General features: G+C 45.7%; 1 annotated feature.

Annotated features, from left to right (window-relative positions):
- Positions 3,380-3,549: an enhancer, noted in NCBI's record as "experimental_47418 CRE fragment used in MPRA reporter constructs". NCBI's record gives its function as "activates a minimal promoter by MPRAs in K562 erythroleukemia cells, with activity observed for both the introgressed and non-introgressed 17:75633390 variant alleles {active_cell/tissue: K562}" and the evidence as "EXISTENCE:reporter gene assay evidence [ECO:0000049][PMID:34662402]".

The raw sequence follows: 21,818 nt of genomic DNA, 5'->3' as shown, positions 1-21,818 counted from the left end.
TGCCAACCCCCATCCTGCATTTAAGCTGCAAGGGCTACCTTAAGCCACTTTGACACCCTCGGCTTCAGTCACCAGCTTAGACTACGGGCTGGTCTAGACCAGCGGCTTTCAACTTCTCTTTGGCTGTAGAATCTAATCTTCAAATAAAATCTTACGCGAGGAAGGAAAGATCTATTATCTCACCTGTGTGTCCCATCTTCCTCCGGCCCCACCCAGGTCCACCCCAGCCCATTTCAAAGGGAAAGAGCTTTGTCTCTGCCTCTCCCCAGCTCCACCTTCCTGCCTCTATGCCCTGCCTCCTGGGAGAGGTTCCCTCCCACCTAGCTCCTGGCCTCCTGGGGAGTGGAACTGGAAAGAGGAGGAGAGAGGCACTGGACCAAAGGAAATAAAGGAAATAGATCTTATGTGGGGAGTCAGTTCCTGGGCTTCTGTTGTGGAGAATCCAGGTCATTGGTGATGTAAAAAGGGAAAGTGAAAAAGGAGCTGGAGAGGCCAGGTGAAGTGACTTATGCCTGTAATCCCAGCACTTAGAGAGGCCGAGGCAGGAGGATCACTTGAGGTCAGGAGTTCAAGACCAGCCTGGCCAACGTGGTGAAACCCCGTCTCTCCTAAAAATACAAAAATTAGCCAGGTATGGTGGTGGGCACCTGTAATCCCAGCTACTCGGGAGGCAGAGGCAGGAGAATTGCTTGAACCTGGGAGGCAGAGGTTGCAGTGAGCTGAGATCGTATCACTGCACTCCAGCCTGGGCAACAGAGGAAACGGAAGAAGAAGAAAGAAGAAAGCAGGAGAAGAAGAAGAGGAAGAGGAGGAAGAGGAAGAGGAAGAAGGAGGAGGAGGGAAGAGGAGGAGGGAGGAGGAGGGAAGAGGAGGAGGGAGGAGGAGGAGGAAGGAGGAAGGAAGGAGGAAGAAGAAGAAGAAGAAGAAGAAGAAGAAGAAGAAGAAGAAGAAGAAGAAGAAGAAGAAGAAGAAGAAGCAGCAGCAGCAGCAGCAGCAGCAGCAGCAGCTGGAGAGACAGAAAGAAAGAGAGAGCGAGAGAAGGAGGGAGGGAGGAGAGAGAAATTGACTAATTGCTGCCTGGACAAGGTCAGAAAGCTTGGTGTCAGGGGTCTCCAGAGGGAGGTCTCTTTTTAAGGAACGGGCTTGCCTGATTAGGGGGACTGGTAAGTCTGGCATCTGTAAGACAGGCCAGCAGGCTGGACCCCAGGCAGGAGGAGATGCTGCAAGCTTGAGGCAGAATTTATTCTTCTCAGGGAAACCTCAGTTTTTGCCCTTAAGGTCTTCCACTGATGGGACAAGGCTCATTCACATTTTCGAGGGTCATCTTTTTTACTTAAAGTCAGCTTATGGTAGATGTCAACCACCTCTACAACATACCTTCACAGTAACACCTGGCTTCATGTCTGATCAAATAACTGGGTGCTACAGACTGGCCAAGTGGACTCACAGCCTGATCCTTGCCATTGGTGAGTTAGATGCTACAACATCTAAGAGAGCCAGGGAGGAGAGGAAGGATGCTGGGACATGAATCCCCTTTAATCCTCTTGGGGCTGCCAGATCCAGCCTCTTTGAGTGTCTGGAGACTGGGCCCCACAAGACCTTGGTTTATATTCAGGTTATTCTAACAAGGCAGCCGATCTATGCGAGAAGCCCAGACCTGCTGTGTTTTGAAGAGGGCTGGGGTGGCTGGTCCGGCTCTGCCCCCGACCTTGGTGCCTCAACTCTGTGCAACTCACCACACCCCCTCAGCAGGCAGCTCATTGCTCAGGGATGATCTTCCATGTAGACAAGATTATGCCTGGAGAAAGCGGAGAGCCAAAGGGAAAGACCTTATTATCCTGTAACATTCTCTATCCCTTTACAAACCCAAGTTGGCAGAGGCTGTTTGGTTCTCTAGTGCCAAGCACAGGATTCAGGCTGGAGTGAAGTTCTTCACAAATCACAGAGCAGGTCACTGAGGAAGTCCCCGCTTCCCCCCCACCCCACCCCCCCCCCTTTTTTTTTTGAGACAGAATCCCGCTCTGTCGCCCAGACTGGAGTGCAGTGATGCAATCTTGGCTCACTGCAACCTCCACCTCCTGGGTTCAAGCGATTCTCCTGCCTCAGCCTCCGGAGTAGCTGGGATTACAGGCTCCTGCCACCATGCCCTGTTAATTTTTGTATTTTCAGCAGAGACGAGATTTCGCCATGTTGGCCAAGCTGGTCTCACACTCCTGACCGCAAGTGATCCACCTGCCTCAGCTTCCCAAAGTGCTGGGATTACAGGCATGAGCCACTGCGCCTGGCCCCCACTTCTTTCCGTCTCTCCTAGGTCTGCACATTCAGTTGTGTGCAGACGTGAATGCACTCCTGCCTGCAGACACATTTAGCTCAGCCTGGGGCACCCCTGTGAGTTCATTAGGCCTGGTGTAGCCACAGGGGACACACGTGTACCAGCTAAAAGACAGACTAGCAGCCTGCATCCCCGTAGCCCCAAATCAAAGTCTGGTGAGCACCATAGTCTGGGATCCAGAACATCCCCTCTGCCATTTCCCATCAAGCAAATAATTCTCACTGCAGTGTCAGGATTGGACTTGCAAAAGACACAGACATTTGATGCAATCATCTCTGAGCCCTTTCTCATGCCCAGTTCCTCTCCTTGCTATTTAATCACCTCTGTATGGAACCTTGTGGTTTCTTTCCCACCCCAAGGCTGTGTCGGGGGCCAGGCTCCCGAGGAGTCTTGGGAAGCCTCCGGCTTATTGATGGAGATGCTTATACTGGCTCGTTGCCATGGCAACCTGCTGGCTGAGCAGAGAGGCGCAGCCAGGGCTCTGGGGTCTGCCGTGTGGTGCCGTGGGGGTGGGTTGCTGACGATGATTACCCAGGAATGTCTCTTTCGGGAGCCCCAGAGGAGGAGCTGCCTTCCAGTCTGACATGGCTGGGGTCTAGATCTGAAACCGCCACACAAGATAGGAACACCCTCCAGGCTGGGATCAACTGTCAGGAAGAAACTCAGATTCTTAAGTCATCCAAAAGGAAGAGAGGCTTTCGTGCCACGCCCTGGAAATCGCCTCAGTCCCCAGCAATGCAAGAGGAGCTCAGAGAGGCAGGTGCAGGCAGCTCCGCCCCACCTGGAGGGAGAAAGTCTCAGTCCTGAGCTGCCCCAAGGCCCCCTCCTCCCGTCTTCCTACCTGGAGAGGAGGGTGCACAGGCCCTAAGGTCCTCGCCTTCCTCCCCTGAGCGCTCCTGTCCCGCATCAGAGGTGGCCGGACACTCTCTGTGAGGCAGGGCAAGTGTCCCAGACATTTCCCAGCAACAGCGCTCCCGCCCACTCCCCATCCTCTTCGTGCTCTTGGCCCCAGTTCTGTCTGGCGATCTGATAGGAGCATGGGTTACTGGAACCTGTCACTGCAGGCAGCCCAGGTGCTGGGGGAGGGGAAGGGGAAGAGATGAGGGGGAGGGGAGATTCAGCATCCCCAGGCGGGGACAGACATCCAGGGAGACCCCATGCCCTGGAGAGAGGGAGGAGGCCAATCCCCTGGAGCCTGGGTTAGGGCCTTTCCATGGCTCAGGAGAAAGGCCAGATTCCAGAACCTGGCTCAGAGGCCCCTTCCTGATGCGGCCCTGCTGACCTTGGCACTATGCCTGCCTGTGACCCCCACCATCCTTATTTCTAGAATGTTCTCACTGTACTGAAACAGCTTCACAATCTTTAGCCTCTGGGCCTGTGCATAGGCTGATCCCCTGCCTAGAACCCTCTCCTCCCGGCCCCTGCAGGTGTCCATTTAGATCTCATTTCTGAGAAACTCCTCCAGTTCTGGACAGGACTTGTACCAGGTTGAACGGTGTCCCCCAAAATGCTCACCCGAAACCTCAGAAGGTGACCTTATTTCAAAATAGGGTCTTTGCGGATGTGGTTAGTTCAGATGGGGTCCCACTAGATTTGGGTGGGCCTTAAATCCAAAGACCAGTGTCCTTATAAGGAGAGGGAGATCTGGACACACAGAGATGAAGGCTGTGTGAGGACAGAGGCTGCAGTGAAGCAGCTTCAAGCCAGAAACTGGAAGGGGCAAGGAGGGGTCTCCCCTAGAGCCTGTGGAGGGCACAGCCTTACTGACACCTTGATCTCGGACCTGTGGCCTCCAGAACTTTGAGATAATCAATTTCCATTGTTTTAAGCTGCTGAGTTTGTGGTAACTCATCACGGCAGCCCCAGGAAAGTCACGCAAGGCCTGGGGTATGAACCCCACATTTCTGGGCACCTATCTGTCCTAGAGGAGCTGGGAGGTGGGCCACTCACATGACCCTTCCAAGGCAACCTTTGTTCTGGAGCTCCCTGTTGGGGGATCCTAGGCTTTGTCAGAGGGCACCCCAGTGGGAGGCTCTTCCTGCCCCATCCTGCACTCTCTCCTCCTTCCCTGCACAGGCATCGCCCCACCAAACTTCTCTCACTCCTGAATTATTCCAGAAAGAGCAAGACTTTGGGATCTGATGGGTGCAGTGTGGAGCTCTAGCCCTTCCCCATCACCACTGGGTCGCTAGGCAGGAGCTCGCCCTCTCAGAGTCTCAGTTTCCTCTTCTGTAAAACGGGGGTGGGGGCACTCATGAGTGGAAGGCACCTGGGTGGCCTGCAGCACTCAGCACTCAACACTTACCACTCTGCACTCAGCACTTTCCACACAGCACTCAGCACTCAACACTTACCACTCTGCACTCGGCACTTTCCACACAGCACTCAGCACTTTCCACACAGCACTCAGCACTCAACACTTACCACTCTGCACTCGGCACTTTCCACACAGCACTCAGCACTTACCATGCTGCGTTCAGTACTTACCACACAGCACTCAGCACTTACCACACAGCACTCAGCACTTACCATGCAGCACTCAGCACTTAGCATGCAGCACTCAGCACTTAGCATGCAGCACTCAGCACTTACCATACTGCATTTTGACAGCTCTTTACCTTCATTTCTCTCCTCCAGGACAAGGATGCTTTGCAGGCAAAGAGTGCATTTCGTGTGTGCCTACTGCCAAATAGAGACCTGATAGCTACTGGGGATGGTGAATGACAGCCCAGCCTCCAGCCAGCTCACAGGAAAGAGACAAACACGACCCCGGAGGGGAGGACAGGTTTTATAAGGTCACAGGCAATTACAGATGGCAAGATTGAGGCCTTGGTGTCAGCAGGTCTTAAGCCTTAGTTTAAAATATCTTGATTCTGCAGAAGTCTTCCCAACCTCTTGAATCCAGCCCGACCCTCCTGGATCAGGCCTGAATGTCTGTGTCTCTCCCCAGGTTCCCAGGCCTCAGCTGAGCAACCATTGTACCCTAGGAGGGAAGCCTCCTCATCTCTGTCCCCGTCCTCCCCTCTGTTCCCAGAGCAGCCCCTCCCACCTGCCTTTGTTACTCTCCCGCCCCATGCTCCCAGTCTTCACATTCTGCCTCTGGTACTGGTGGGACATGGGGCTTCTCCAGAAACAGGCTCACCCCTTATGTCTGCCCAGCTCCTGGGCCACTGTGACCAGCTCTGGACCGGACACTGGGGACTTAAGGAGTGGACAAGCACACCCAAGGAAGTCACCTCCTGTTGCAGATTGGAATAGAGGCCCCCAAAACATATGTCCACCCAGAACCGGTGAATGTGACCTTATTTGGCAAAAGGGTCTCTGCAGGTGTCATTAAGTTAAGGATTTGAGATGAGATTATCCTGGATAATCCAAGTGAACCCTGAATCCAATAACAAGTGTCCTCATGAGAGAAAGGCAGAAGATTTGAGACTCAGAGACACAGGGGGAGGCCACGTGCAGATGGCAGCAGAGACTGAAGTGCTGCATGTCAAGCCAGCAAACACCTGGGCCCCAGAAACTGGAAAAGACAGGGCAGGGTTTTCCCCTAGAGCCTCGAGAGGGAGTGTGGCCCTGCAGACACGGTGATTTCAGACTCCTGGTGTCTAAAACCATTGTTCTAAGCCATGCAGTGTGGGGTCATTTGTTCCAGCAGCAACAGGAAACCAATTCATCTCCTCCCAAGGCACTAAGTCACGTCAGTCACCACTTTGGTTTTTTTCTTTTTGAGATGGAGTCTCTCTCTGTGGCCCAGGCTGGAGTGCAGTGGCTCGATCTTGGCTCACTGCAACCTCTGTCTCCCAGGTTCAAGCGATTCTCCTGCTTCAGCCTCTCAAGTAGCCAGGATTACAGGCACTGGCCACCACGCCCAGCTAATATTTTGTATTTTTAGTAGAGACGGGGTTTCACCATGTTGACCAGGCTGGTCTCGAACTCCTGACCTCAGATGATCTGCCTGCCTCGGCCTCCCAAAGTGCTGGGATTACAGACATGAGCCACCGCGCCCAGCCAGTCAACACTTTCAAAGACTCCCACATGGAAGATGGATTGGTGCCGCCCTGATGCGGGACCATCTGTTAGCCTCTGTCAATGATTTGAATCGATGTCCCTCCCAGCCTCCAACCTTCGCCTTGCCCATGTTGCTCCCTAAGTACTGTCCACCTTGCAGCCTCCACGTCTCAGCCCAGCACCTCCACGTCGAAGATGCTCTCCCACAGGTTTGCTCAAACAACAGAGCAAAGGTACACACTTTTTCACACGTTCACATCTCTGAACTGTATGTGCTTACAGTGAACATTGTGCCATATTGTAACTAGCAGCATCTTTTTCCTTCTTGGTGCCACATAAGATAATAGTATGTTTTGTAATAAGTCCCATCTGATTTTTTTTTTTTTTTTTGAGTCGAAGTCTCGCTCTGTCGCCCAGGCTGGAGTTCAGTGGTGCGATCTCGGCTCACTGCAAGCTCCGCCTCCCAGGTTCACGCCATTCTCCTGCCTCAGCCTCCCGAGTAGCTGGGACTACAGGTGCCCACCACCATGCCCGGCTAATTTTTTTTGTATTTTTAGTAGAGACGGAGTTTCACTGTGTTAGCTAGGATGGTATCGATCTCCTGACCTCGTGATCCGCCCGTCTCGGCCTCCCAAAGTGCTGGGATTACAGGCGTGAGTGAGCCATCATGCCTGGCCTGATTTTTTTTTTAATGCAATACAAAATAGCCAAGGCTGTGCATTGTAGCATTGCTCTAACTGAGCGGAAAGATTGGAAATAAATGTCCATGAATAAGACGATACAGTGAATAGTGGTGCACACATCCCATGGAATACTATGCACCAGTCAACACACAGAAGGTCACTGAATGATCTGATGTGGAAAGCTCTCCAAGATATATTTTTAGACAAAAAAGCAAGCTTCAAACAATTATGTAGTTTTTAATATTTTTTAACAACTAAAGCTAGAAATATATAAATATGTAGACACACACACACATATATATTGTGCCTATATGTGTATATATTCTTGTACAGACAATTATGTAAGCTGTTGTATGTATATTATTGTGCAGAAAAGATCTGGAAGATATGCCTATTTGAGCATGCTCTAAAATGTCACAGTGTTTACATCTGGAGAGGGGCGTGGGGCGGAAGTGCAGGGGTTGTTGGACTGGCTCACTCTGCATCTGTTCCAAGTCTCACTCTGTTGCCCAGGCTGGAGTGTAGTGGTGCCATCTTGGCTCATGGCAACCTCTGCCTCCTGAGTTCAAGCAATTCTCCTGCCTCTGCCTCCTTAGAAGCTGGGATTACAGGTGCATGCCACCACACCTGGCTAATTTTTGTATTTTTAGTAGAGACAAGGTTTCACCATGTTGGCCAGGCTGGTCTTGAACTCCTGATCTCAGGTGATCTGCCTGCCTTGGCCTCCCAAAGTGCTGGTGTGAGCCACCACGCCTGGCCTTCAGCTTCATTCTTCATATCTGTAAAATGCCTTAGTGACAGTTCTCCAGAAAAACAGAGGAGTGCTGCAGAAGCGGGGAGAGCCAAGGTCCCAGCTCACAGCCCATCAGGTAGGAGAGTTCTCACTCACTCAGCAAAGGGCTAACCTTGAACTACACCATTGAGACCTTCAACTGATTAGATGAGGCCCACTCATGATGGAGGGTGTCTTCGTCCATTTGGGCTGCTTTTACAAAATCCCATAGACTCGGTGGCTTGTAAACAACAGAGAGTTATTTCTCATCATTCTGAAGGCTGAAAGTTTGAGGTCAGGATGCCAGCACGGTGGGGTTCCCCTGGGGGTCCTCTTCCAGGTTGCAGACGGCCAGCTTCTTGCTGTGCCCTCACATGGTAGAAGGGTGGGGGGTCCTCCAGAGGCTCTTTTATAAGAGCACTAATCCCACTGATGAAGGCTCAACCCTTGTGACCTGACCGCCTCTCAAAGGCCCCATCTCCTGACAGCATCACCTTGGGGATTAGGTTTTTAATATATCAATTTTGGGGGGAGAGACAAGAACATTCAGTGCATTGCGAAGGGTAATCTGCTTTACTCAGTCTATGGATTTAAGTGTTAATCTCGTCCAAAAGCACCCTCACAGAAACACTCAGAATAATGTCTGAGCAAGTATCTGGGCATTCCATGCCCCATTTAAGTTAATATATTAAATTAACCATCACATGGGGGTAACTAACAATATCTCATAGGTTTGTAGCATAGTGGCAGCCACCTGGACTCAATCCACATCAGCTGTTATCAATGGAATTTTCCTAACTACAGATTCCTGCGAGGGGCCCTTGGCAGCTTCCCAGGGTCCATGGGATTTTTCAGATTTTTCTGAAAAAGAAAAGATGGGGGCTGGGTGCGGTGCCTCATGCCTATAATCCCAGCACTTTGGGAGGCCGAGGCGGGCAGATCACCTGAAGTCAGGAGTTCAAGACCAGCCTGGCCAACATGGTATAACCCTGTCTCTACTAAAAATACAAAACTTAGCCAGGTATGGTGGCGGACACCTGTAATCCCAGCTACTCAGGAGGCTGAGGCAGGAGAATTGCTTGAACCCTGGAAGCGGAGGTTGCAGTGAGCCAAGATCGCACCATTGTACTCCAGCCTGGGCAACAAGAGCGAAACTCCACCTCAAAGAAAAGAAAGAAAAAAGAAAAAAAGAAAAGATGGGTGTCTGCGGCCCTCACCCCTTTTGTACACTCAGTGACAGCTTATCCAGAAGCTAAGTAAGTCAGCTCCTTGTGCAGGAGCTGAGAGCACTGAAGATGTCGCAGCCTCTCCTGGGCTGTGGCTGGCCTTTATAGAGTTGCCTTTGAAAATGTAAGTGCACATATATGAAGCAGTGGGGGCTACTGCAGGAGAGCTGCAGGTAGGGGAGTGAGCACGCTCAGGGTCTCTGATGCTCTCTGCTGAATGACTTTCTGTCTCTGTCTGCTCTGGTTCCCCTCTCCATCTCCTCCGCCCGGGACCTAGGGTGGCGGCTGCCACGACACAGCAGGACCTCGGGTATGCCCTGCACCTTCTCTGTCCTGGCCACGGTCAGACAAACCTTTTTCCCTCTTAATATAAAGAAGGTTAGAATTAAAACATAGACCCACATACCCAACGCCATCACCAACAGCAACTTTGAAAAGTGGGGAGCCCAGAGGGGAAGAATACAGTTGCAAAACAGCTGAAAATGAGAGACCAGGAAGCAAGGATTCATTCCGCCAGATCAACTTAAAATCTACCCAGTGGGGCCGGGCACCATGGCTCATGCCTGTAATCCCAGCACTTTGGGAGGCCGAGGTGGGTGGATCACGTAAGGTCAGGAGTTCAAGACCAGCCTGGCCAACATGGTGAAACCTCATCTATACTAAAAATACAAAAAATTAGCTGGGTGTGGTGGTGCACGCCTGTAATCCCAACTATGGTATGCAGGAGGCTGAAGCAGGAGAATCACTTGAACTCAGGAGGCAGAGGTTGCAGTGAGCAAAGATGGCGCCACTGTACTCTAGCCTGAGCAACAGAGCAAGACTCCGTCTCAAAAAAAAAAAAAAAAAAGCCAGGCGCGGTGGCTCATGCCTGTAATCCCAGCACTTTGGGAGGCCGAGGCGGGTGGATCATGAGGTCAGGAGTTCAAGATCAGCCTGGCCAAAATGGTGAAACCCCGTCTCTACTAAAAAATACAAAAAATTAGCCGGGCGTGGTGGTGGGTGCCTGTAATCCCAGCTACTCGGGAGGCTGAGGCAGAGAATTGCTTGAACCTGGGAGGCGGAGGTTGCAGTGAGCAGAGATCGTGCCATTGCACTCCAGCCTGAGCGACAGAGCGAAACTCTGTCTCAAAAAAAATATACATATCTACCCAGTGGTTGACTTGGTTGGCAGCACTAAGGTCATTTCTCACCCTAGCCCCCATGGAAGGACCCTGCCTGAAAGGCCCATTTGCAAATCTCACTCCCACCTTCCGTACCAGCAAATGCCCCACTCCTGGGGCTTTGCTGATTCCTCCCCAGCTCTTTTCAAAGGGGGCTGAAGGCCAGAATCAACACTTGATTTCTTGGCTTGATGACTGGGCTCTCCCCAAGTAAAGACAGACCCCAAATATAGCCCATATCTTGATTGTGGCAATGATTACATCGCGGTATACATTCGTCAAAACGCATAGAAATGTGTATCTAAAAGGAGTGAATTTTACTGTGTGTAAATTATACCTCAATAAGCATGACTTAAAACACAAGACGATTTGAATTAAAAGGAGACACTTCATTTCTTGCATAGGATAACTTATTATAAAGATATCAGTTTTTACCAAATCAATCTATTAATATAGATTAAAATTAATCTATATTAATTATTATATAATATATAATACAATGTATTCTATAACATAATTTATTTATATTGATTTGTAATGTAAATGAATATAAATTGATGTTAATTATAATTAATTATATTAACAACATTCTTTATATTAATTTGTAATTTAAATTTGTGTTAATTGTATTATAAATTAATTATAAATTATATATTCACTGTAATGAATCAATAAACTCAATACAAAAACCCAGAATTCTACTTGGATTTTTTTAAAGGAACTTGATAAACCTATTCTAAAATGTATACAGAGAAATAAAAGTAGACTAGGCACAGTGGCTCATGCCTGTAATCTCAACACTTTGAGAGGCTGAGGTGGGAGAATCACTTGAGCTCAGGAGTTCCAGACAAGCCTGGGCAACATGGCAATACCACATCTCTGCAAAAAATTTAAGAATTAGCTGGGCACAATGGTGCACACTTGTAGTTCCAGCCACTTGGGAGGCTGAGGTGGGAGGATCACTTAAGCCCAGGAATTCACTGCACTCCAGCCTCCGCAACAGAGCAAGACCCTGTCTCAAGAAAATAGATAGATAGGTAGATAGATGATAGATAGATAGATAGATAGATAGATAGATAGATAGATAGATGATAGATAGATAGATAGATAGATAGATAGATAGATAAAAATAAGGCTAGGTTAATAACACTGAAAAAAAGGAATAAAGAGGGGACTTGCCATCCTGGACATGAAGGCATATTCCACACCATAGTAAGAAGGCAGAGTGCCAGATACTCACACAAGAACTGATCAGCTGGTGGAAGAGAACTGAGAACTTAGACCTCGTGTTCATATGGAAACTGAATATAAGGTAAAAATGATTCAAAACAATGGAAAAGGAAGGATTATTTAATCAAATTTTGTTAACTCTAAGATACACTTTTTTTTTCCACACTCTAAGGATGCTACACTTGGGATATGTCTTAAAATTGTTGTCACTTGGGAAGCCGAAGCGGGCAGATTGCCTGAGCTCAGGAGTTCGAGACCAGCCTGGGCAACACGGTGAAACTCTGTCTCTACTGAAATACAAAAAATTAGCTGAGAGTGGTGGCATGCATCTGTAGTCTCAGCTACTCAGGAGGGTGAGGCAGGAGAATTGCTTGAACCTGGGAGGCGGAGCTTGCAGTGAGCCGAGATCGCACCACTGCACTCCAGCCTGGGCAGCAGAGCGAGACTCCATCTCCAAAAAAAAAAAAAAAAAAAAAATTAGTGTCATTGTTCTGTCAGTTGGGTGGGAGAATTGGAGAAGACAAATGTGGGCAAACGTCCAAGGCACCAGCATATTCTGCAATACAGGCACCAATGCCTTGGGAGACAATCCTGGAGGTGGCCAAGGAGAATTCTTCTAAGGAATCCTGCCTGACAAAGGCTCTTGATGGCTCAGAGGACAATACTGTGTGAAAAACAAGGACATCCCTCACTCCGAAGGCAAAGAAGTGTCAGGAATTTCTTAACCATTAGTTTTGTTTATATTTTCCTTTTTATTGTGCATAAAAGCAACATATGATTTAAAAACCCACTGTATCTAAGTAATTCTAAAAGAACTCTTTGAGTAAGTACAAAATAAAATTTCTGAGCAATAAAGATCAGCACTGAAACTAACCCCCACGCTCTAGTGTTTTGGGGGATGATAGCAAGGCCAAAACAGAGCTGCCCTCTAGGAGCATGCAGTCGGAAAGTCCAATGTCAAGCTCCACTTACATCCTTGGTGCAGTAAGGAGTGGCTGCTGCATTTCAAGAAAGAAAAAACAAGCAACTTCTCTATTTGGGTTCTAATGTACACGCCATTTGCTTCTGCTTCACTCAGCAGCCAGGATCTACACATCTGCTAAGCCCCAGATGTCCTGAGGGGCCCCTTGAGCCACAATCCTTAACCTCAGAGAGCTCCTGTCTTGTGGGAAAAGCAGACTAATTGAAAGTAAGGAAGGCAGCATGATTAATGCTGAGCTAGAGAACCTCAAAGCTGTATGACAACACATAGATGGTCCATCTCTTTGGAATGGGGAGAAAGTTCAAGGCAGGCTTCTGGGAAGAGGGGACATCTGAGTGGAGAGGAAGAGAAGGACTGGCAGGATAAAGGGGAACCTGAGTGTTGTTCCATGCACAGGAAACAGTGCATGCAAAAGCATTAAGTAGAGGAGGGAGGTAGCCTATTCAAGGAGAGTGGCATTGGTCAAGGATGGCTGGTTCATGGGGTACAAGGAAGAATGGCAGAAAACAAAGCTGGGGAGGTGAACAAGACCACATTGCAAAGGGCTTTGCATGCTGGACTAAGGAATTTAAATTAATCTAAAGGCTCTGAAGAGCCCATAGGACCAGACCCACCTGCTAGAAGGTGAGCTCTGGCTGCCAAATGGAAAATGGACTAGAGGAACCAACACTGAGGCAGGATGAGTGAAGATGCTACTGCAAAAACCCAGGAGAGTTCAAGTTGGATGAAGACAAGAAAATATCCACTGGATTTATCAACAAAGTAGCCTTAGTAACCTCAGCAAGCCCAAAAGAACTCAACACCACCATCAACCAATAGGATCTAATTGGCATTTATATACCGTTCCATCCAACAACAGCAGAATACAGATTTTTTTCCAGTGTGCAAGGAACATACACCAAGTTAGTCCTCAAACAAAGTAATCAAACCTCAACAAATTTAAAATGGTTAAAATCATACAGAATGTGTTCTCTAGCCAAAATGGGATCAAACTAGAAAAGAAAAACCGAAAGATAAGAGGAAAATCTCAAAACACTTGGAAACTAAATAACATTCTTCTAAATAATCCATGGATCAAAGAGGCAGCTTCAAGGGGGGAAAACTGACATTGAATTGAATTAAAATGAAAGTACAGCATGTATGCAAAATTTGTGAGACACAGCTAAAGCAGTGCTTAGAGGAAAATTCATAGGATTAAAATGTATGCATTTGAAAAGAGTCTCAAACAATCTATGCTCCCACCTCATCAACCTAGAGAAAGAACAGCAGAATAAACCCAAAGCAAGCAGAAGGAAAGAAATAATAAAGATAGTTCAATGGAACTAAAAACAAAAAGAAAAAAACAAAATTTTTGAGACAAGGAACCATTTCTTTGAAAGACCAATGAAGTTAACAAATCCCTAGCAAGACTGATAAAAATGAAAGACACAAAGTATCAATGTAAGGAATGCAAAAGGGAGTTTCACTATAGACCCTGCAGCTATCATAAGGATGACAAGTGATATTTCTCACACACACACACACACACACACACACACACACACATAAATGGCCAGTAAGCCCAAGAAAAGGTAATTAATATTTGTCTCTAATCATTAAGAATATGCAAATCAAAATCACAATGAGATACCACAAAATAGTAAGTGTTGGCATGCATGTGAAAAGATTGGAATCCTGTGTCCTGCTGCTGGGAATGTAAAATGCTGCAACTGCTGTGGAAAATAGTACGACAGTTGCTCAGAAAATTAAACGCAGAATTACCATATGATCCAGCAATCCAATTTCTGGGTATCCACACAAAAGAACTGAAAGCAGGAACTCAAACAGGTGTTTGCACCACCGTGTTCACAGCAGCATTATTCACAATAGTCAAAAGGTAGATGCAACTCAAGTGTCCATCAACAGATATAAACAGAGAAACCAAATGTGTGATATCCATACAATGAAATATTATTTAGCATTAAAAAGGAAGATAATTCTGACACCTGCTACAACATGGATGAACCTTGAAGACATTATGTTAAGTTAAATAAACCAGCACAAAAGGACAAATATTGTATGATTCCACTAAAGTGAGATACCTACAGTATCAAATTCATAGAGACAGAAAGTGGAATGGTAAATTTTATGTTATATATGTTTTACCACAATTTTAAAAAGAGAAAAATGCAAGTGCATAATAAACATTGTGAAAGGAATGAATCAATAGATAAGTAGATAAGGGAATGCTAGGAACAACTCTACGCACATAAATTTGGCAACCTAGATGAAATGGACCACTTCCTCAACAAACAGACAAATCCACAAACTACCACAACTCACCCAATATAAAATAGATCATTTAAATAACCCCTGTAACTGTTTAAGAAATCCAGCTGATAATTTTGAAACTCCTAGTAAAGAAATCTCCAGGCGTAGATGGTATCATTGGAGAGTTTTAGCAAGAACTTGAAGAATTTAAACCAATTCTACACAGTCTGTTCATGATAATAGAAGAGGAAGTAACACTTCTCAATCACTTTATGAAGCTAGTATTAACCTGATGTCAAAACTGTACAATGATCATACAAAAAAGAAAGAAAATTACAGAGCAATATGCCTCATGAATTTAAATGCAAAAATCCTTAACAAAATATTGACAGAGAATTCAGCCATACATTAAAAGAATCATGTAATATGACCAAGGATCTATCACAAGGATGCAAATCTGGTTGAAGATCCCAAAATAAATGTCCTCTACCGTATTAACAGGCTAAAGAAGAAAAACCACAGGATCATGTCAATCAATGCAGTGAAAGCATCTGACAAAATTCAACACTCTCATAATTTTTAAAAACTCTTAGAGAAAAAAGGAATATTGATATTAACTTGATAAAGCTCATTTACCAAAACACCCAGCAGCTAAATAAAGACAAAATGCTTTCCTGCTAAGACCGAGAATAAGGCAAGAATGTCCACCCTCACCACTCTTATTCAACATTATACTGCAAGTTCTCACCAGTGCAACGACAGAAGAGAAGGAAATTAAAAGCATCCAGATTTAAGAGGAAGAAATACAACTATGCCTATTAAGAGAAGGCATGCTGGCCGGGCGCGGTGGCTCATGCCTGTAATCCCAGCACTTTGGGAGGCCGAGGCAGGCGGATCACAAGGTCAGGAGATCGAGACCACGGTGAAACCCCGTCTCTACTAAAAATACAAAAAAAAATTAGCCAGGCGCAGTGGCGGGCGCCCGTAGTCCCAGCTACTCGGGAGGCTGAGGCCGGAGAATGGCGTGAACCTGGGAGGCGGAGCTTGCAGTGAGAGAAAACCGCACCACTGCACTCCAGCCTGGGCCACAGAGCGAGACTCCGTCTCAACAAAAAAAAAAAAAAAAAAAGAGAAGGCATGCTTGTCTACCTAGAAAATCCCAAAAAATCAAAACAAAACAAAACTCCTGGAATAAATAACTTCAGCAAAGTTGCAAGATACAAGATAATTATACAAAATTTTATTTATTTATATATACTAGCACCAAAATTAAAACTACAATGTCATTTACGATCATGAAAAAGAGAGAGAAAGAGAACTACTGAAGTGTAAATCTAACAAAACATGGATTTGTATGCTGAAAACTACACGAGACTTGTGAAAGAAATCCAAGAAAATCTGAATAAATGGAGAGATATATTGTGTTCATGTATTGAAAGGCTCAACGTAGTAATGATGTCAGTTCTTCCAAAATTGATATACAGGTTTAATGTAATTTCTACCAAAATTCCAGCAAGGTTGTTTGTACATATAGATGAGATTATTCTAAAATTTAAATGGAAAGGTAAAGGAACTAGAATAGCTAAAACAATTTTGAAAAATAATAAAATGGGAGGGAATCACCCTACCCCATTTCAAGACTTTGTATGTATTAATATCTGCACTAATCAAGATTGGTATTTGGCAGAAGAGTAGATACATTAATCAATGGAACAGAACAGAGAACCCAGAAATAGACCCAAAAGAATATGCCCAACCGATCTTTGACAAAGGTACAAAATCAATTCAATGTAACACAGATCAGCTTTTTGGGAGGCCGAGGCGGGTGGATCACTTGAGGTCAGGAGTTCAAGACCAGCCTGGCCAACATGGTGAAACCCTGTCACTACTAAAACTACAAAAATCAGCCAGGCATGGTGGCACGTGCCTGTAGTCCCAGCTATTCAGGAGGCTGAGGCAGGAGAATTCCTTGAACCTGGGAGGTGGAGGTTGCAGTGAGCCAAGATCATACCACTGCGCTCCAGCCTGGGTGATAGAGTAAGACTCTGTCTCAAAAAAAAAAAAAAAAGAAAGAAAGAAAGAAAAAAGAAAAAAAAAGAAAGATCACCTTCACAACAAACTAAGGCAACTGGACATCCATAAGAAAAAAAGAAGAAGAAGAAGAAGAAAGAAAGAAAGGAAGAAAGAAAGAAAATAAATTCTACTTAGGTCTCACACCTTTCATAAGAATTAACTCAAAATGGATCATAAACTTAAAGATAAAATATAAAATTATAACATTTTTAGAAAAAACATAGGAGAAAACCTTAGGGACCTAGGGCTAGGCAAATAGTTCTTAGACTTGACATCAAAAACATGATTCATAAAAGGAAAATTTGATAATTTGGACTTCATCAAAATTAAAAACTAGGCCAGGCATTGTCGCTCACGCCTGTAATCCCAGCACTTTGGGAGGCCAAGGTGGGCGGATCACTTGACGTCAGGAGTTCAAGATCAGCCTGGCCAACATGGCAAAAGCCTGTCTCTACTAAAAATACAAAAGTTAGCTGAGCGTGGTGGTGCACGTCTGTAGTCCTAGCTACTCGGGAGGCTGACGCACAAGAATTGCTTGAATCCTGGAGGCAGGGGTTGCAGTGAGCCGAGATTGTGCCACTGCACTCCAGTCTGGGTAACGAAGTGAGATCCTGTCTCAAAAAAAAAAAAAATTAAAAATAAATTTAAAATTCCTGCTCATTGAAAGATCCTGTTAAGAGGATGGAAAGAAAACCTACAGATGGGGGGAAAATATTTGCAGGCTACAAGTCAAACACAGGACTAGTAATTAGAATATACAAAGAACTCTCAAATGTAACTGTGAAAAAATTCAAATAGCCCAATTAGAAAATGGGCAAAAGACATGAAAAAACATTTCACTGAAGAGGATATACAGAAGAGAAATAAGTGTATGAAAAGGCACTTCATTAGCCATTGAGGAAATGTAAACTGAAACCATAGTGAGATGCACGACTCACCTATAAGAATGGCCAAAACAAAGTAATCACACGCAATGCTGGCCAGGATGCAGAGAAATCGGATCATTCATACATTTTCAGTGGGAACGTGAAATGCAAACACTCTGGAAAACAGTTTGGTAGTTTCTTTAAAACACCAAACATGCAACTGCCATACAATCCAGCAATGGCACTCTTGGGCATTTGTCCCAGAGAAATGAAGTCTTATGTTCACACGTACACAAAACCTGCACATGAATGGTTTTGCAGTGTTATGAATAATAGCAAAAAAACCTGGAAGCAACCCAGATGTCTTTCAAGAAGAGAATGGCTAAACAAACATACTATGGAATACACTCAGCAAAAAAAAAAAAAAAAAAGGAAAAAACAGAACAGAACATGCCATTCATACACACGGCAACCTGGATGAATTTCCAGAGGCTTACGCTGAGTGAAAAAAAGCCAGTCCCAAATGTACCCATTTGAAAATGTACCTGGGACTTGCTATGATCAGGTATGTTTGATAAGATAGGCAGACACTGAAATAATTGTCATGAAGAAAAAAGTTTATACTCACAGATCACAGATATGTATATTATATATTATCAAAAGAAAAAATTACAATTTAGTTTAAATATCTTAATTGGCTTTATTTGTGATTTTACAGTCAGGGCAACACTTCATTATATAAAATAGAATAAGCAGCATGGCGAGGCCGCTCATGCCTGTAATCTCAGCACTTTGGGAAGCCAAGGCTGGAGGATTGCTTGAGGCCAGGAATTCAAGACCAGCCTGGGCAACATAGCAAGACCCTGTCTCTGCAAAAAATTTGGCGTAGTGACGCACACCTGTAATCCCAGCTACTTAGGGAATGGGATGAAATGGAGGATCGCTTTGGCCCAGGAGGTCGAGGCTGCAGTGAGCTGTGATTGCACCACTACACTCCAACCTGGGCAACAGAGCAAGACTCTTGTCTCAAAAAAGAAAAAGAGAGAAAGAAAAGAAAAATGAAAAATAGAATAAGTGTTCCAATGAACTAAGCAGAGGAAGTTGGCTTTATAGACAGAGAAGGGTTGAGGAAAACAAAAACAGGCTGGGCGCGGTGGCTCACGCCTATAATCCCAGTACTTTGGGAGGCAGAGGAAGGTGGATCACCTGAGGCCAGAAGTTTGACACCAGCCTAGCCAACATGGTGAAAGCCTGTCTCTACTAAAAATACAAAAATTAGCCAGGCATGGTGGTGGGCACCTGTAATCCCAGCTACTAGGGAGGCTGAGGCAGGAGAATTGCTTGAACCTGGGAGGCAGAGGTTGCGGTGAGCCGAGATCGTGCCATTGCACTCTATCCTGGGCAACAAGAGTGAGACTCCCTCGAATACAAAAAAAAAAAGAAAGAAAGAAAGAAGAAAGAAAGAAAGAAAGAAAGAAAGAAAGAAAGAAAGAAAGAAAGAAAGAAAGAACAAAAAGCAGATGGATCATTTTAAAGCTATATCCCTTGTAAGGTGGGAACAGGGAGCACTGGAGAGGTGACTGATTGGCTAACACAAGGTTACTGCAGGTTACCTTTTTTTGGTAAGGATTAAAGCAGTGGGAACTTCATTCTCAAGCCTAGTGAAACTGGCCTGTTTGGGAAATGTGCCTGTTATCTGTCTCTGTTTTTTAGAAGGCCAGCTAACAACTCAGTTTTGGTTTGGTGATGTGGAATTTACTATGAGTGACTGCATTTTTCTTTTTAGTCTGGTCTGTTGGGGCCTAGTGCAGGAGCGAAGGCCAAAAAAATGACCTCCTATAATTTTTATTTAACTATAAATATATAATTTTTTAAAATTACACTTTGTATGTTACATATGGTAAAAGTGAATGGCCCCTCTCCTTATCTTCCAGATACCCATCTCACCCCTCGCCAAAAGTCACTTCTGCTAACATCTTTTGTGTGACCCCATCCAGATTTTTTCTATGTCTTTTCTTATACACATATGCACAAATTTAGTGGTGTTTTCAGAAATGGGATTTATAGACTGTTCCACGACTCTCATAGTAAGAGCTAGCTGGTAATAAAGAAGTTACAGAAACCTTAATAAAATGATTCTAACCCCCTGACTCCAAAATGGCAAAGGAATAAGCCACCCTGCCCTCCCTACCACAGAAAACAGGTTGCAGAGGGAGACAGGAGCCCCTGGTCTGAGTCTCTCCCAGGATAAGTGGCTCATGGAATGTTTTTGTAAATGGAATTCTGGTCTTGCAACTGCAAGGACTCCACTGGGAGAGGGGCTGGAGCTATAGCTTAAGAAGTGGATGGGGCTGCATGAGCCAACCCCAGGAACTCCCATCTTCTAGAGATGAGCCCATGGAGCTGGAGGGAAGAGAAGGGTATGAACTGGGAACAAACCAGAGCCTTCAAAGGACACAGCACACACACTCAGACACACCCTTTACAGCAACCCTCAGCAAGGTGGACAAGGACACACCAAGTCCCCCTTATATAGTTTGGCTGTGTCCCCACTCAAATCTAGTCTTGAATTCCCATGTGTTGTGGGAGGGGCCCGGTGGGAGGTAATTAAATCATGGAGGCAGGTATTTTCCATGCTGTTACTGTGATAGTGAATAAGTTTCACGAGATCTGATGGTTCTATAAGGGGTAGTTTCCCTGCACAAGCTCTCTCTTTGCCTGCACCATCCATGTAAGACATGACTTGCTCCTCCTTGCCTTCCTCCATGATCGTGAGGCCTCCCCAGCCATGTGGAACCCTTTTTCCTGTATAAATTACCCAGTCTCGGGTATGTCTTTATCAGCAGCAGGAAAATGGACAAATACACCCCCTCAAGAAGAGGACAAAGGCAGACAGTCTCAACTCTCGTCCTATTTCTGCCTGTTCCAGGAAAGAGAATGGTTTTTGAATTGAAAAGGTTAAAACAAAGCATGATGCCAGTCATATTGTGGGAGCTCAGGAACTGTTTGTTGAATTAAATGCAGAGAGGGGATAGCAGCTGGATATAAGTCCAGATATAAGTGAAAAGAGAAAATAGCTACCCCAGCTGCTATAAACAAGTTCCTTCCCCAGACCCTGATGAATCGCATCTCAGGTATTTAAGCCTCCAGGAGTCAACGTCTCAGAGCTATAACCAACAATTCTAAGAAATGACGAAGGACAAGAGAAGTGCTGAAAACAGGCCGTGAGCTGCTGACCTGATTTCAAAAAGGGGCAAGGAAGAAAATTCTAGAAATGATAGTCCAGTAAATGTGATGTAAATCGTTAGAAAAGGATGATTTTACAGCTGGTTAATGAATGTGTAAAGGAAGTCAACACAAAACCGAAACTCTTCAGGAATAAAACACATCACAATATTGTTGGACATTTTCAGCTAAAGTTCAGCTAAAGACGGGTTCCTTGTCACACGGCTGTGAAAGATTAGGCTCGCAGACAATTTGAAGGGTGGGAATAATAGTATTTATTGAGAAAAAAGAAAAAAAGGGGAAACAGACTCAGCAGAGCAAGTCCACCTAGTATAGCATTCCCACCTCACAGATTGAATCCCAGGTTCACCCAAGAAGAGGAGCAGCCAGGCTCCTCCCCACTGCACATGGTGCAGACTTCTGTGGCTCCACCCCAGGGCGGATTCCTCCCAGTACGCAGGCCGGCTGGAGTTTCTCTTGGGACCCCTTCCCACCTGGTTGTCTCAACAAAGGACCTTATTTCCATTTTCCATGAGTTACCAGATTTATGGATCCAAAGAATGTCTCAGACAATATACTGACTGGCATATATCTTTGTAAATTAGGTGCTCAAACAGGGACTAGATGGTAGCACCACCAGGTCAATTCATAGCTAGATGGACAGCTGCAGACAATGGGTCACCCTGAAGGACAGCCACAGTGGAGGCCCCAGGCCTCCTTGTTTTGGTGCCAGCCAGCACTTCCATAGAGACTTAGAGAGAAGCAGGGGCATTTTTGTCAAATTTGCAAATGGCACACACCTGGGAGGGATGTTTCAAGTGAAGGATAATGGAGTCGATACAGAAAATCAACTAAATCAGATGCCTCACTGTGGCAAAACCGGTGGGTCAGACATTGCTGGAGCTCCTTCACACTTAGGGCGCCCTCACAAGCTGGGGAAGCCTAGCCCAACAGCAGGGTGCCGTGTGGGAAGCTGCTGACCGACGATGGATAGGGATAGCAAATGTCATG

The sequence above is a fragment of the Homo sapiens genome, chromosome 17, assembly GCF_000001405.40.
Source record: "Homo sapiens chromosome 17, GRCh38.p14 Primary Assembly".
NCBI classification, from domain to species: Eukaryota; Metazoa; Chordata; class Mammalia; order Primates; family Hominidae; genus Homo; species Homo sapiens.
The sequence above is the reverse complement of the archived record's forward strand: the minus strand, read 5'-3'. Positions and strand labels throughout refer to the sequence as shown.